The sequence below is a fragment of the Homo sapiens genome, chromosome 3 (assembly GCF_000001405.40).
Source record: "Homo sapiens chromosome 3, GRCh38.p14 Primary Assembly".
Taxonomy (NCBI): domain Eukaryota; kingdom Metazoa; phylum Chordata; class Mammalia; order Primates; family Hominidae; genus Homo; species Homo sapiens.
Window position 1 is genome coordinate 11,434,201 of NC_000003.12, and position 15,225 is coordinate 11,449,425.

General features: G+C 42.2%; 1 protein-coding gene across 38 annotated transcripts in view; it reads left to right on the top strand.

Annotated features, from left to right (window-relative positions):
- The window catches only part of ATG7 (autophagy related 7), a 303,957-nt gene that overhangs the window by 161,804 nt on the left and 126,928 nt on the right, over nucleotides 1-15,225 (top strand). For 2 of the 38 annotated variants that reach the window (XM_047447300.1, XM_047447306.1), the window contains one exon: nucleotides 12,309-12,736. The exons of 34 other annotated variants lie outside the window; for them this stretch is intronic. In XM_047447300.1, the coding sequence (XP_047303256.1) occupies nucleotides 12,309-12,314 (6 nt within the window). In that variant the 3' untranslated portion in view covers nucleotides 12,315-12,736. Of the gene's footprint in view, nucleotides 1-45; nucleotides 423-12,308; nucleotides 12,737-15,225 lie in introns of those variants that run through there. 2 more of the 38 variants (XM_024453312.2, XM_017005550.2) reach the window with 1 other exon arrangement.

The window sequence follows — 15,225 nt, forward strand, 5'->3', positions numbered from 1 at the left end:
TTTGTTTTGTTTTGCATTTAACAACAGTCAGATATTTATGTACAGCTTCATCAAGAGCCTCTGATGACAAATATGCCTTTGGAGGCCAGCAGAAGCTGTGGGAAACCCCCGTGTCAGCACTCAGACCTGTTTCCAATGGAGAGAAATCGCTCTGGGGACTGAACTAGCCTGCTCATGAATCCAGTTCCCTTTTCCCAGAGCCTTCTGCTAGCTCACTTCCAACCCATGCTGGCCATCCTGGGACTGTGCCCTGCCTTGATTTTTCCTTATGAAGCAATCCCTCAAGACACAGCCTTGGCCCTCTCTCCTGAGTGAGGGAGGAAAGGCAGAAACAGGCAGAAAGCCATTTACTTCTTAGATTGGAAACTAGAGCCTGGTTTTTGAAATAAAGCTTGGCAGTATCTCACTTATAACTTACTTTATAAAATGTGTACCTTTTATTTGCTGTCAGAGTTATCTACATGAATTTGAGATGTTTGGATAAATCGTTATTGGGGAAAGTTGCAATTGGAAAATAGACAATGAAGTCTGGGCAGAGTTCCCCACCCTTCGGAAAAGAGTCTCGGATGGTATAATCCGCTTGGAGAAGTCTAAGCGAGAAAGAAGGGGGGAAATCATAAATGCTGAAAGCAAAGCAAAGACAGCTAATATTAGGAAACAGAACATGGGAATCCAGTCCTTCTTACATTGTACTCCTGGTTCCGCCAGTGTTCTCATGAGTGACCTTGGATGAATCCTTCAGTGTCCTGTGCATGCTTCCCCACTTAAAATGAGAGGATTGAATCATGTGAAATTCTTTTTTTAAGCCTCCTTTCTAGAAAAAAATGAAATGCTTTTCAACTCTAATTTAGTGATTTTGATTCAAATATACCATGTATAACCAAAAAGGAAAAAGATGGATAATTTTTACATAAAAGTGTTTAAAAATATATCAAAGTACTTACTTTTTATACATTTTATAAATATTCTTTGGTATCTATTATATCTAGCTACCATTGCCAGAAACAACTTTTTGCAGATTTTGAGATTTACATCTACTTTGAGCCTTAATAGAACATTGCTTATACTTTGTATTGATGTGTGTCACTGTACGTATAAATCTAAAATGGTGTAATTCAGCCTAATAACTTACCTCCTTCACCAGACTCGGTGCCACTTTTGACTTCTTTATAAACTCAAATCCACCCTGGCCATAACTGGGTATGTTCATGAAACATGCTACTCACTACCCCTCAGTACAGCTTCCGAAGATGAGTTCCAAAGCCCTCTTACTTTAATAGCAGCATCCTTAGAATGCTGAATGTGTAATAACAGGAGAGTTACTTTAATAATCAGCCATATTACATTAGAATACTCATAAAGTGTATGAGTAACCCGAATCCTGGCCTGGTCAGAAGGTCTGAGTTCATACCTCAGCTCCCACACATAGCCAAGACTGCCATGTTCCTCTGTGTGGGCCGTGTCAGGCAGGACCGTGTGCAGCAGTCATGTGAGACCTTGGGTTATTTACTTCATTGACCTTCGTTTCCATCATTTTGTAGGATGTGATTAATAATTCCTACTCCTCACAATTACCATATTAAGTAAGAAGGCACCTTACAAAAGAAAAATACTGGACTCCATCAAAATTTTAAATTTTGTGCTTCAAAGGACATAAGAATACGAAAAAGTGGGCCACAGTATAAGAGAGAACAGCATTTTGCAAATCATACCTGATAAGGGTGTGGTATCTAGAATATAGAGGGAACTCTAAGCTGGGTGTGGTGGCATGTGCCTACAGTCCCAGCTGCTTGGGAGGCTGGGGTGAGTGTATCGTTTGAGCCCAGGAGCTGGAGACCAGCCTGGGCAGCACAGTGAGAACCCATCTCTAAAAACAACAACAAAACCCAGAATATATAGGGAACTCTTACAACTTAATAATATAAAGATACAGAACTCAATTAAAAATGGGCATTAGATTTAAAACAACATTTCTCCAAAGAAGATATACAGATAATCACATGATAGCATAATCAAATAAGATGCCCAACATCAATAGCCATTGGGACAATACAAATTGAAACTACTGTGAGATGGCATTCATACCCAGTAAGATGGCTATAATCAAAATGACAACATCCAATGTTTATGAAGATGTAGGGAAATTAGAAGCCTCCTACCTACTAGTGGGAGTGTCAAATTCTGCAGCCACTTTGGAAAACTGTTTAACAGTTCCTTGAAAAATTAAACATAGAATTACCATGTGACCCAGGGATTGTACCCCTAGATATATACCCAAGGCTACTCTGGACACCCTGCCTATAGGGTAGCCCTGTTCCACAAGGAACAGTACCAAAAATTGTATATGTGTGTGTGTGTATAAATATAGCCCAGAGAAATGAAAATGTGCACACAAAAAATGTACACAGTGTTCCTAACACTATTATTTATTCATAATTGTCAAAAAGTGGAAACAATGCAGATGTTCATTAGCTGATGAATGGATGGATAAAATGTCAGCTATTACGCTGGAATAATGGAGTATTCAGCAATAATAAGGAAGTACTAATACATGTTATAGTATGGATGAACATTGAAAATGTTACACTAATTGAAGAAGCCAGTCACAAAAGGACACATATTGTAGGATCTCATTTATGTGAAATGTCCAGAGTTTTAAAGTCCATATAGTCAAGAAAGTAGATTAATGGTTGTCAGCAGGTGGGGATGGGGGATTAAGGGAAAATCAGTGGCTACTTAAAATGTTTCCTTTCGAGGTGATGAAATGTTCTAATCTTAGATAGTGATGATGGTTGCACAACGGTGATTATACTAAAACCATTGAATTCTATACTCTGAATGGATGAATCATATGGTGTGTGAATTATCAATACAGATGTTTAAAAAGCAAGACAAAAAGTGCCCATAGTTGGGGCATTTTGTTTCTCCTTCCCTCTCTCCTTTCTCTGGTTCTCTCTGCATGCAATGTTGATTTTCTCTCTGTGACAGGCTGTCGTAGGATGTTAGCTCATTGTTTTTAGGAATGCGTTTTCTGTAGATTATGACAAGGATCTCTTCCATTTTTATTGTGCCTCAGTTTTCAAAGCCTTAGTCTCTGTGCACCTCCTTTAGCCTTTTCTTATGCTATGGATAGCCTGTAAACACTGAGGGAAGAGATGGAGGGGCCTACCAACCAAATGCCTCCCCTCTGTGCTTGCTGTGGGGAGAGAAAGCCACAGTTGGCTCCATCCATAGAAGACATCGCAGATAAAGGGGTTAGGGGAAGATGAGAGCACGTTGCTATCTGTTTGTGTAAGTTTAAGCAGGTGTTTAGAGGATCTAAATCCCAACCTGGATCTGAATTTTTAAAATTTCCCTGTTTACCACAGGATTTTTCCCCCAAGATTTTTTAGCTTGAAAATTCCCAAATATACCAGAAAGTTGAATGAAAAGTACAGTGAATACCCACATACTCCTACCTGGATCCAACAATTAACATTTTGCCACATGTGGTTTATCTCTCTGTGTACGTGCATGCACTCCCCCGACGTCTTATCACAGTTCGCATATATACTTGCTCGTTTTCTCTTTTAAACCATTTGAAAGCAAGTTTTATATACAGCGGCACCTCACCCCTAAATTTTAGCATGAATCTGCTAAGAATATAGACATTCTCTGATGTAAACAGAGTACCATCATCACAGAACAACAAAGAATAATTCCATAATACCACCTAAAATCCAGTACATGTCCGAATTTTCCCAGAAATGTACAGGATTTTAAACTATTGTTTGCTTTTTCCTCAAGCTGGTAATATTATACTTAGAGTTTTTTCCAATAATACTTAAGCACTGGTCATACATACCAAGTGATATCCACTTAAGCATATCTTTTTAATTCCCTTGACACCCTCACGCTCCTCTCTAAATGGGGAGACACAATTACCCTATTAGGCAACATGCCCCTGAGGTCCTGCTGCTCCAGCAGGCCTCTTCTAGGTGAGCGTCTTCTCTGGGTGTCACCAGGGCATCCTGGTCTGATTGAAGCAGCCCTGAGAGCCAACCAGCCCTGAGCAGTGGTTCCCACCCATCCTCCATCCAGGGTCCCCAATGGTGGAGGCTTTTAAGGAGGTAGGAATGGGACTATGAAGGCTATTTTCAATATTTTGAAAAGTCAAACAGGAGTAAAACATTTAGGACTTGAAAAGATTACATTGACCAACTGAACTATCAAGATTTTAGCCAGGCGTGGTGGCTTGTACCTGTAGTCCTAGCTACTTGGGAGGCTGAGGTGGGAGGATCGCTTGAACCCGGGAGGTGGAGGTTGCAGTGAGCCAAGATTGTACCACTGTACTCCAGCCTGGGAGACAGAGGGAGACCTTGTCTTAACTAAAACAAAACAAAAATAAAGATTTTTTTTCTTTTTAACCTAAATTCTGTTGTCTCAGAATGGAATGGCATACTGTTATCTGACCTGGCCAGAAGCTCTGATTGGTAGTTATGAATCCCTTTGAATTATTAAAAAAATTAGGCAAATTAGTGCATTTGCTGGGTAGGAGAGGTTTTTCAAGATCTAATATGTGAGAGAGAAAGTGAAAACTAAAGGAATTCTTGGAGATCAGGAAGTGGAGAATCTCTGGCCTGTGGCGCTGCTGAGCCTAACTTCCTGGCTTCACATCAGCAGTGGAGGCTTCCCTGGGAGGTGTTCTTGCAGTTTGCCCTGTGACCGCTATTCTAGGGGCTGTATTTTTACAGCTGACCCTTCTCACTTGCAAACATAACAGCTGCTATGTGTTGAATTTGGGGAGTTTCCATATTTTGAGACTGTAAAATTAAATTGATTTTTAGTTCTGAGCTCTTAGTCTTATTTTCTTTTTCTTTTCTTTCTTTCTTTTTTTTTTTTTTTTTGAGACAGAGTCTCACCCTGTTGCACAGGCTGGAATGCAGTGGCGTGATCTTGGCTCACTGCAACCTCCGTCTCCCAGGTTCAAGCGATTCTCCTGCCTCAGCCTCCCGAGTAGCAGGGACTACAGGCGCCCACCACCACGCCCGGCTATTTTTTGTAGTTTTAGTAGGGATGGGGTTTCGCCATGTTGGCCAGGCTGGTCTCGAACTCCTTACCTCAAATGATCTGCCCGTCTCAGCCTCAGAAAGTGCTGGGATTACAGGTGTGAGCCACTGCACCGGGCCTGAGCTCTTAGTCTTGATCCATCTTGCTTCTCAGCTGTAGGGGAGCAGGGAGGGAAGGGAATGTGAAATATCCTAAGGTGTGTGTTTTTTAAAATTAAATATTGTTGATCTTTTATCATGGCTTCTATCAGTCAACAGATATTTATTGACCCTTTGCTGAGTTCATGGTGTGGGAGTCAAAGAGGTACAAGCCAGGCTTTTAGGAGGCAGACGCAGTATAGTTGGGGAGATAGGACAGGAAAGTCACTAGGACTGCAAGGCAGTGGGTGTGCACGTGGTGCAGTAAGTTCTGCAGGGTTTCAGGAACATCAGGAGCAAGAGAGAGCTCCAGGGAAGAGTTAGGTTTTGAGGTGCGTCTTGAAGGTTGGAGCTCCAAGTGCAGGAGAGAAAAAGCTTTCCAGAAGGGCCTGTGGCATGACCACATCCAAGTCTCTGATGAAGAGTACCAAGAGAGGTATAGCAACTAATGTTAATTGCGTTATCTGTGATTTTCAGGGCGCTTTTGTACCTGCCCTTTTGATGCCCATAACAATCTTAGGAGGTGACTATTATCCCATTTTATGGATGAAGTTGTCAAGACTGTAGCTATGCTCAGGATTTATCTACATCTTGAGGTTTACAGTACACTTCATAAGGCTGGAATCAGAGAGGAAGAAGTGCATAGGGTGATGCAGAGGCATTCTGCTTTATAGAACATATCTCTACTTTCATATTGAGCAGTTTCCAAAAGCGGTTTTGCTTTTTGTCTGTGTCCTTACAACTACTTCTCAGATAGCATAGTTTCTTTCACTGTACCATCCTGGGGCCTTACTGTACTTTCTTACTCTTAAACTGGCTTCTAATAAAATCCGTGGGAATGAGATTTTACTTGTAGATGAACTTGCGACTCCAATCCCAACTTACCATTGGGAAAAGAGCAGGTAAGAGATAAGTCCTTTCTTTCTGGCCTTTACTCTTTTTTTTTTTTTTTTTTTGAGACGGAGTCTCGCTCTGTCGCCCAGGCTGGAGTGCAGTGGCGGGATCTCGGCTCACTGCAAGCTCCGCCTCCCGGGTTCACGCCATTCTCCTGCCTCAGCCTCCCAAGTAGCTGGGACTACAGGCGCCCGCCACTACGCCCGGCTAATTTTTTGTATTTTTAGTAGAGACGGGGTTTCACCGTTTTAGCCGGGATGGTCTCGATCTCCTGACCTCGTGATCCGCCCGCCTCGGCCTCCCAAAGTGCTGGGATTACAGGCGTGAGCCACCGCGCCCGGCCTTTACTCTTAATTTCCCTTTACAATTTAGGGAAGAGTTGGTCCCCATTTGCTTTTTTTTTTTTTTTTTTTTTTTTTTGAGACGGACTTTCGCTCTTGTCGCCCAGGCTGGAGTGCAATGGTGCAATCTTGGCTCACTGCAACCTTTGCCTCCCGGGTTTAAGCTATTCTCCTGCCTCAGCCTCCCAAGCAGCTGGGATTACAGGCATCTGCTACCATGCCTGGCTAGTTTTTGTATTTTTAGTAGAGATGGGGTTTTGCCATGCTGGTTAGGCTGGTCTCAAACTCCTGACCTCAGGTGATCCACCTGCCTCGGCCTCCCAAAGTGCTGAGATATAGGCATGAGCCACTGTGCCTGGCCCCCATTTGCTTTTATTCAGCTATCTGGTGAAAAAAATTCAGTATTAAACTAGAAATATTTATATCTTATTGTTGCAGGACAAAGTTGTTGAGTTTCTAATAACAAATATGTAAACTGCTGTGGGATATTTTTGTTTTGTTATAATTTGCTGCTAGCTTTCAAGCATCTGTGTTTATCCTACCTTAATCCTCTTTGAAAGAGGCCATACTTAATTTTACCCAATGCTTTATTAAAAGGAAAGAAAGTTGGATTTTTAAATTTTTTATTTATTAATTTTTTGAGATGGAGTCTCACTCTGTTGCCCAGGCTGGAGCGCAGTGACATGATCTCAGCTTACTGAAACCTCTGCCTCCAGGTCTAAGAAATTCTCTACCTCAACCTCCCGAATAGCTGGGATTACAGGTGCATGCCACCACACCCAGTTAATTTTTTTGTATTTTTAGTAGAGACAAGGTTTCAGCATCTTGGCCAGGCTGGTCTTGCACTCGTGACCTCATGATCCACCCACCTCGGCCTCCGAAAGTGCTGGGATTACAGGCGTGAGTCACCGCAACCAGCCTGCATTATGTTTTAAAGCACCAGTTTGGAACCAATCTTTTAGAGGTAACTGTTACAAGTTTCTGTACCCAAATATTGGTTTATCTGTACTCTGTTTCTTCCTTCCCCTTTCTCCTTTTTTTTTTTTTAATTTTTTTTTTTTTTGAGACAGAGTCTTGCTCTGTTGCCCAGGCTGGAGTGCAATGGCGTGATCTCAGCTCACTGCAACCTCTGCCTCCCGGGTTCAAGCAATTCTCCTGCCTCAGCCTCCCAAGAATCTGGGACTACAGGCGCCTGCCACCACACCTGGCTAATTTTCATATTTTTAGTAGACACAGGTTTCACCATGTTGGCCAAGCTGGTCTTGAACTCTTGACCTCAGGTGATCCACCCACCTTGGCCTCCCAAAGTGCTGGGATTACAGGCGTGAGCCACCGCGCCTGGCCCAATTTTTGTATTTTTTTATAAAGATGAGGTTTCACTATGTTGCCCAGGCTGGTCTTGAACTCCTGGCCTCAAGCCATTCACCTGCTTCGACTTCACAAAGTTCTGAGATTACAGGTGTGGGCCATCACACCCAGACTCTTCTCTTTCTTTCAACGGTAACCTGTGGAAATACAATGTTATCATCCAGTACCATGATCGCTAGGCTGAAGTAATAGTAAGCCAAGCTCTCTTCAGCCCTTAGCAGTGTGGGCCCAGAAACAGGGTGGTCTTATGGAAGGGAGCATAGGATGTGGGTCCTGAAGAGAAGGTGTTCACTCCTGGCCCCATCGCTAGTTGCATCACTTCATCTTGCCTGGATTTCATCTGTAAAATGGGATAATGCCTACTCCACAAAGTTGATGTGCTTTGAAATCTTTAATACAAACATTTGTTATTGGAAACTAAATACAAACGAACCAAATGGAAAACTAGATTTTTTTCATAAAAATGTTTCGGGATATATATCATAGGCCTTTGAACGTAAATATCTTGAACTTTAAACAATCATTAGCCATTAAAATTTTAATGTGTATTAAATGGATATTATTAGACTGTCAAAGTGATTAGCAATAGGTGGTTTCATTGTAGAATAACCTATTTTAAAGTATTTTAGGGCCAGGTGCGTGGGATTACATGCCTGTAATCTCAGCACTTTGGGAGTCTGAGGTGGGAGGATTGTGTGAGACTAGAAGTTGAAGACCAGCTTGGGCAGCATAGTGAGACTCCATCTCTACAAAAAAAAAAAAAAAAAAAAAAAAAAAAAAAATTAGCCAGGTTTGGTGGCACATGCCTGTAGTCCCAGCTACTTGGGAGGCTGAGATGGGAAGATTGCTAGAGCCCAGGAGTTCGAGGCTGCATTGAGCTAAGATTGTGCCACTTCACTCCAGCCTGGGCCACAAAGCAAGACCTTGGCTGTACAACAAACAAAACAAAAGGAAAAACAACTATTTGATTTTAGTCAGGGTGTAAGAATATGTATTATTGTTCCCAAAAAAATCTGTGTAAAAACTTCATAGTGTGAAACAGTGGCAACTGCTTGATTAAAACATCATTTAGAAAAGACACTCTTCCCTGTTTTGAAATTGACTCCTCAAAAGGACAGCTGAACATGGCCTCTTCTCCAGGTGTCGCCATGCACTCCCTCTGGGCCACCATACACACTTCTGTGTGGGGCGTGCTCCCACCTCCAGCCTGCTCAGCTGATCTTTTGTTCAGCAATGCCTGTCTACTTCCCCATGAGATCCACCTGGCACTCCTACTAGTCTTAAACCATTATCTCCCTTGAAAAATGAGTTCTGGCTCACTCCTTACTACTAAGGCTGAGGGGCAAAGGAGATTATATAAATGAAAGCACCATGCATGTTTGAGGTGGTTTCCTTTTCTTCGTTGTTGTTTTTTGAGACAGGGTCTCACCTTGTCACCCAGGCTGGAGTGCAGTGGCACAATCTTGGCTCACTGCAGCCTCAACCTTCCAAGCTCAAGTGATCCTCCCAACCTCATCCTCCTGAGTAGCTGGGGCCACAGGCATGTGTCACTATGTCTGGCTAATTTTTTGTATCTTAGTAGAGACAGGGTTTTGCCATGTTGCCCAGGCTGGTCTTGAACTCCTGGGCTCAAATGATCCACCTGCCTCAGCCTCCCAAAGTGTTGGGATTACAGGCCTGAGTGGGATTACAGGTCTGAGTCACTGCACCTGGCCGAGGAGGTTTGTATTATTACTTGTGAATGGAGGAATAACTTGAGCTTTAGAAAAGTTAAAGTGACAAAGATCAAGAAAATTTCCCCCCCTGCTTTTTTCTCTTATATTTTAATATTTCCAAATGAGCTATAACATATGCAGAAAAAAGCTTAAAACATTTTATATAGAGAACAAGTATGAATTAAACACCCAGGTCAAAAAATACTCTCGTTGCCCTTCACCCATCTCATATTTTACTTTCTGACCACAGGCCTAGAAGTAACTAGTAACTAGAAACAGTAAACTTTTCCTGTACAACTTCAGTCTGGTATATGGGTCTTAAACAATATAATTCTATTTGCCTGACTTTGAATTTTTCAAACAGAATTATGCTATAATATGTAGATTCTTTCGTGTCTTGTTTTGCCCAATATTGTAAAGGTTACCCATTTGCTGTGCGGCTAAAGTTCATTTTCGTTGCTATGTAGTGTTTCATAATTGGATATATTGAAATTTCTCCTCTACGGTAGCATTTCTAGTCTCAGATTATAATGAAGTGTGCTGTTTGGAGCATTCTGGTATATATCTCCTGGGGTTCATGTGCAGCATTTCTCTGGGTGTTTCTCAACCTTCTTTTCATTATCACTCCTCCTAGGGGGATAATTTAATGCCAACAGTTTAGAATTTAATTAATACTAAAGAATAGGGTTTGTCAGATAGGGCTGAGCTTTGGAGAGCCACTAAACACTGTCATATCTAAGATTTCTTTTGCCTGCCAAAGACCAATTTTTGCTCCTTTGGGGGTGATATCACCCTCTTTGTGAAGGCATACTGTAAGTTATTTATCTCATACTAGAATTGTTGGGTCGTAGAAAATATGCCTCTTCTGGACCATGGACTTAAATGTAAAACCCAAAACTATTAAAACCCTGGAAGACATCCAGACATCCTGGCCCTTACTTCTGGACATAGGAACAGGCAAAAATTTCATGATGATGCCAAAAACAATTGCAACAAAAGCAAAAATTGACAAATGGGATCTAATTAAACTAAAGAGCTTCTGCACAGCAAAAGAAACTATCAGTAAATAGATAATCTACAGAATGGGAGAAAATTTTCTCAAACTATGCATCTGACAAAGGTCTAATATCCAGCACTACAAGGAATTTAGACAAATTTACAAGGAAAAAACCCCATTAAAAAGTGGGCAAAGGACATAAACACACACTTCTAAAAGAAGACATACATGTGGCGAAAAAGCATATGTTAAAAAGCTCATCATCACTAGTCATTAGAGAAATACAAATCAAAACCACAGTGAAATACATCTCACACCAGTCAGAACGGCTATTATGAAAAAGTCAAACAATAGATGCTGGCGAGGTTGTGGTGAAAAAGGAACGCTTATACACTATTGGTGGAAGTGTAAATTAGTTAAATCGTTGTAGAAAGCAGTGTGGAGATTCTTCAAAGACCTATAAACAGAAATACCATTTGACCCAGCAATCCCATTACTGGGTATATACCCAAAGGAATATAAATCATTCTGCCATAAAGACACGTGCACACAGATGTTCACTGCAGCACTATTCACAATAGCGAAGACATAGAATCAACTTAAATGCCCATCAGTGGTAGACTGGATAAAGAAAATGTAGTACATATACACCATGGAATACTATGCAGCCATAAAAAAGAAGATCATGGATGGAGCTGGAGGCCTTTATCCTTACAAACTCATCGAGGAGCAGAAAACCTAATACCATATGTTATCACTTATAAGTGGGAGCTGAATCATGAGAACACATGGACACATGGGAACAACACACACTAGGGTCTGGTGGAGGATGGAGGGTGGGAGGAGGAAGAGGATCAGGAAAAATAACTAATGGGCACCAGGCCTAATACCTGGGTGATGAAATAATCTGTACGACAAGTCCCCATGTCATGGGTTTACCTATATAATAAGCCTGCACATATACCCCTGAACTTACAAGTTTCAAAAAAAGAAAATATGCATCTTCAATTTTATTAAATCATGACTGTTTTCCAAAGCAGTTCACTGACTTACATGAATACCAGTAGTATATGGTAGTTTCTGTGGTCCCTTATCCTTGCCAGAATCTTGGTACTGTCACATTTTAAAATTTTTGCCAATCTGTATAACAGTATCATATTAGGCTTTTACTTTGCATTTTCCTGATCACTGATGATGTTAAACGTCTTATGTATATTACTTATTTGGATTCTTCTTTTCTGATAGTTTCTCTACTTCAACTCCAAAAATTTTCATATGTTATGCTTGTGTAGCCCCTGTGAAAAGAAAGCACAGTAGGATGACCTAGTTATTCACTTGAAAAGTATGATGGAGCCCAGCGACCTTTGTTCTAATCCCAGATGTTTGACTTGGTCAGAGTCCCACACCTCTGGCCCTCAGCATCCTCATTTGCTAAATAAAAGTATTGGCTGGGTTAGAGCAGCAGTTCTGAACCTTGGCTGCCCATCAGAATTATCTAGGATGCTTTAAAAAAATGTTTAGACCACATCTGCACCAGAAAGCCTGATTAAATTGGATTAAAGGTTACTATATCCATTTCAACATTCTGTGATAACGATAGAATAAGTCTTTAACACCTAGATTTCATGGTTTCAATCATCTTCCTTGTCTGCACCCTGAATTAAGTATGCCAGAGACTCTTTATTTGTAAGACTATAATCTACTTTTGTAAATGCGTTATATAAAGGAGGAGACTCCTTAATTTAGTCCGTAGGGGAAACTTGGCGTCATCATTCAAAATACTTTATTGTATCTGGTTTACTTTTAGCACTAAGAAGATTTTCTTACATTGATACCTACTGTGACAAAACACACATCCAATGACAGTGTTAAAATGTCATAAATGAGCCTTTAAAAGAATGAGGCACATGATACATCATGGTACTTGAGCAGACTGCAAGCCTGACCAGACTGAATTCATGAATTCCTGACTTTTGACTTCTTCCTGTAAGATGCTACCCCACTGCCAGGGACTCAACCTCTAAATCCAGTCAAGGGGCTACTTGGGCCTGGAACCAAGGCACAGTCAAGGTGAACCAGCTATGCTCCAGGGGGAGGTGGTTGAAATCACTGGTCTCCTGGACTGGGCCATGAGTGATGGTTATTGGGGCTGGGGAGGTATGAGAGACATCGTGTTGTCCATCTACCTCTGTGTATCTTCAAAGGTCTCTGTAATAAAAAGTTTTCTGAAATTTACTGCCTGACATCAAGTCAGTGGTGTTTTTTAGTGTCCGTCTGTCACATGTAACCATATCACATGTGATCAGTATCTGACACTTGGGTGGCACCTTGTCTTTTTCAGAGGGCATTTACTTGCATTTACTCACTTGATCATCATAGCAGTCATTTTCAGTGAAAAACCTTTTGTAGCCATCCATACCCTGGTTACAAGTGATAGAAACCAAAAGCTTGAACTCTTTTTAGCATAAAAGAGTAATTTATTGGCTGGACACAGTGGCTTACGCCTGTAATCCCAGCACTTTGGGAGGCTGAGGCGGGTGGATCATGAGGTCAGGAATTCGAGACCAGCCTGGCCAACATGGTGAAACCCCATCTCTACTAAAAATATAGAAAAAATTAGCCTGGTGTGGTGGCAGGCATCTGTAATCCCAACTACTCAGGAGGCTGCAACAGGAGAATCACTTGAACCTGGGAGGTGGAGGTTGCAGTGAGCCGAGATCACACCATTGCACTCCAGCCCGGGCAACAGTGCAAGACTCCGTCTCAGGGAAAAAAAAAAAAAAAGTAATTTATTGCTTAATGAAACCAGGTCATGAAATCTGGGCTTCAAGGACTCTAGATGGGGGCATTTAGTGTCAAGACCATCTTAGTGTTCATCAGCTCTGTTCTTTGTTGGCTTTATTCTCTCTCACTACCAACAAGTTCTTTTCTTCCCCATATAGCAAGAAACATGGACTCGGGCAGTTCCAAAATCTCATTCTTACATTAAGAAATCTTTCCTAGTGGCTCCAAAAAGAAAATCCCAGATAAGGACTGTGATTGGCCAGGCCTGGGTCACATGCCATCTCTGGACAGCTGGCAGTAGAAAGGGAAGGGCTGCCATGATTGGCCAGCCTGGGCCAGGGGCAGGTCATACTGATTGGCAGCCTCCCTCAGAACTACACGGTTGGAGTGATGGGGGATGGTCCTCCTCAACAAACTGATGCAGATGGATGGGTGTTGGGCATATATGATAGAAGTCCATTGTAAGTTCAGTCTCCTCTTAGTTCTATTCCTGTGTCTGTTCCTGTCCCTTCCAAACAATGCTGCTTTTCTATCAGCAATTCATTATTAAGGAGTTGAGTGAAAGTCATGAAATTCCAGTCCCCAGATTTGTCCCCAAGCTTGACTCACTCTGCTTTCTGGATTTACCCCCATCTTCTCACCTAACCACAGATACCAGAAAAGAAGTCTTTATTCACTGAGGCTTTGAAAAAATTAGCTGCACAGTCTTCCTTACCACCACCTCCAAACAAAGAACTTTCTCTGAGATTGGAGCACAGTGCCTCCTCCTTTCTCCTTGCTACACAGAAGCCTCATTCTAGGCTTTTCCTCCTTCCAGGCTCCTCCATGCTCTCCTGAGGCCACCTCTTGGGGCGGGGAAGGGGAGTGCTCTCTCTGGCTGCTTCTGCTCACCCAGGGTGGACTCAGGAGCTGGAGCCCCTGAGGTCAGCATGAGGCTTCATCTCTCAGCCCAGATGGCCAGGCTCAGTGACAGCATCTCTGCTTCAGGACATGTGCCTTTAGTCTCCTCCATAGTCTAAAAACTTACTTGCCGTGCTGAAACTTGTTGATAAAACCAAATCTGTAATCAGGAACATAAACCAACACAATACAGGCCTTGCACAAATGAGCAGTTGTGGGGTATCATGGGCCCCTGTGGATTATTTGACTGAAGAGAATGATGGAGGCAAAGCTGGTTGTTGTTGAACAAATTGCTGCCAGATGTAGATTTCAATAAACACCACACTGTTGTTCCCCTGCCCGAAGGTGCTATGAATTTCTTGAGGCAACAGAGGCATCAGTAAACGGGGCAGTGGGGTGGGTAAGGGGGTCGCTGTTCCAATATGAATGGAGCCTCCTAGTGTTTTCTGTCCCTGGATGTTTGTCCACAGAATCCAAGGCAGGCCCTGGGGGTCTCTCTCCCCTGCCTGACATTTTACACCAGAGTAATATACTTAAACTGTAGCAACCAGACTCTGTGGAACCTAAAAGAAACCTGGAATTAGGGTAAAAATGTCACACAAAGTCTGTATTGAGGGTTAACTGTAAGACATGATGAACAAAGCACATCATCCTTCCCTTCATTGAACTTACAAATGGGAGGGAGATGAGTGCTAAAGCAGTAATTACAAATAAATAACAGACAAGCCTTCAAACATCCTGTGAAGGAATGCAGCGTGAGCTTGTAATGCAGAGGCCACTGTCTCTGCCTTCACCATCTGCTAACTAATAAGCTAGGTGGGCCAAAATATGAGCCTATTAGCTGGGCATGATGGCTCATGCCTGTAGTCCCAGCTATTCAGGAGGCTGGGGTGGGAGGATTGCTTGAGTCCAGAAGTTTGAGGCTGCAGTGAGCTATGATTGCCACTGCACTCCAGCCTGGGTGATGGAACAAGACCCCATCTCTTAAACCAACAACAACAAAAAACCCTGAGATTTGGGGCCTGTAAGGCCCCAGAGTC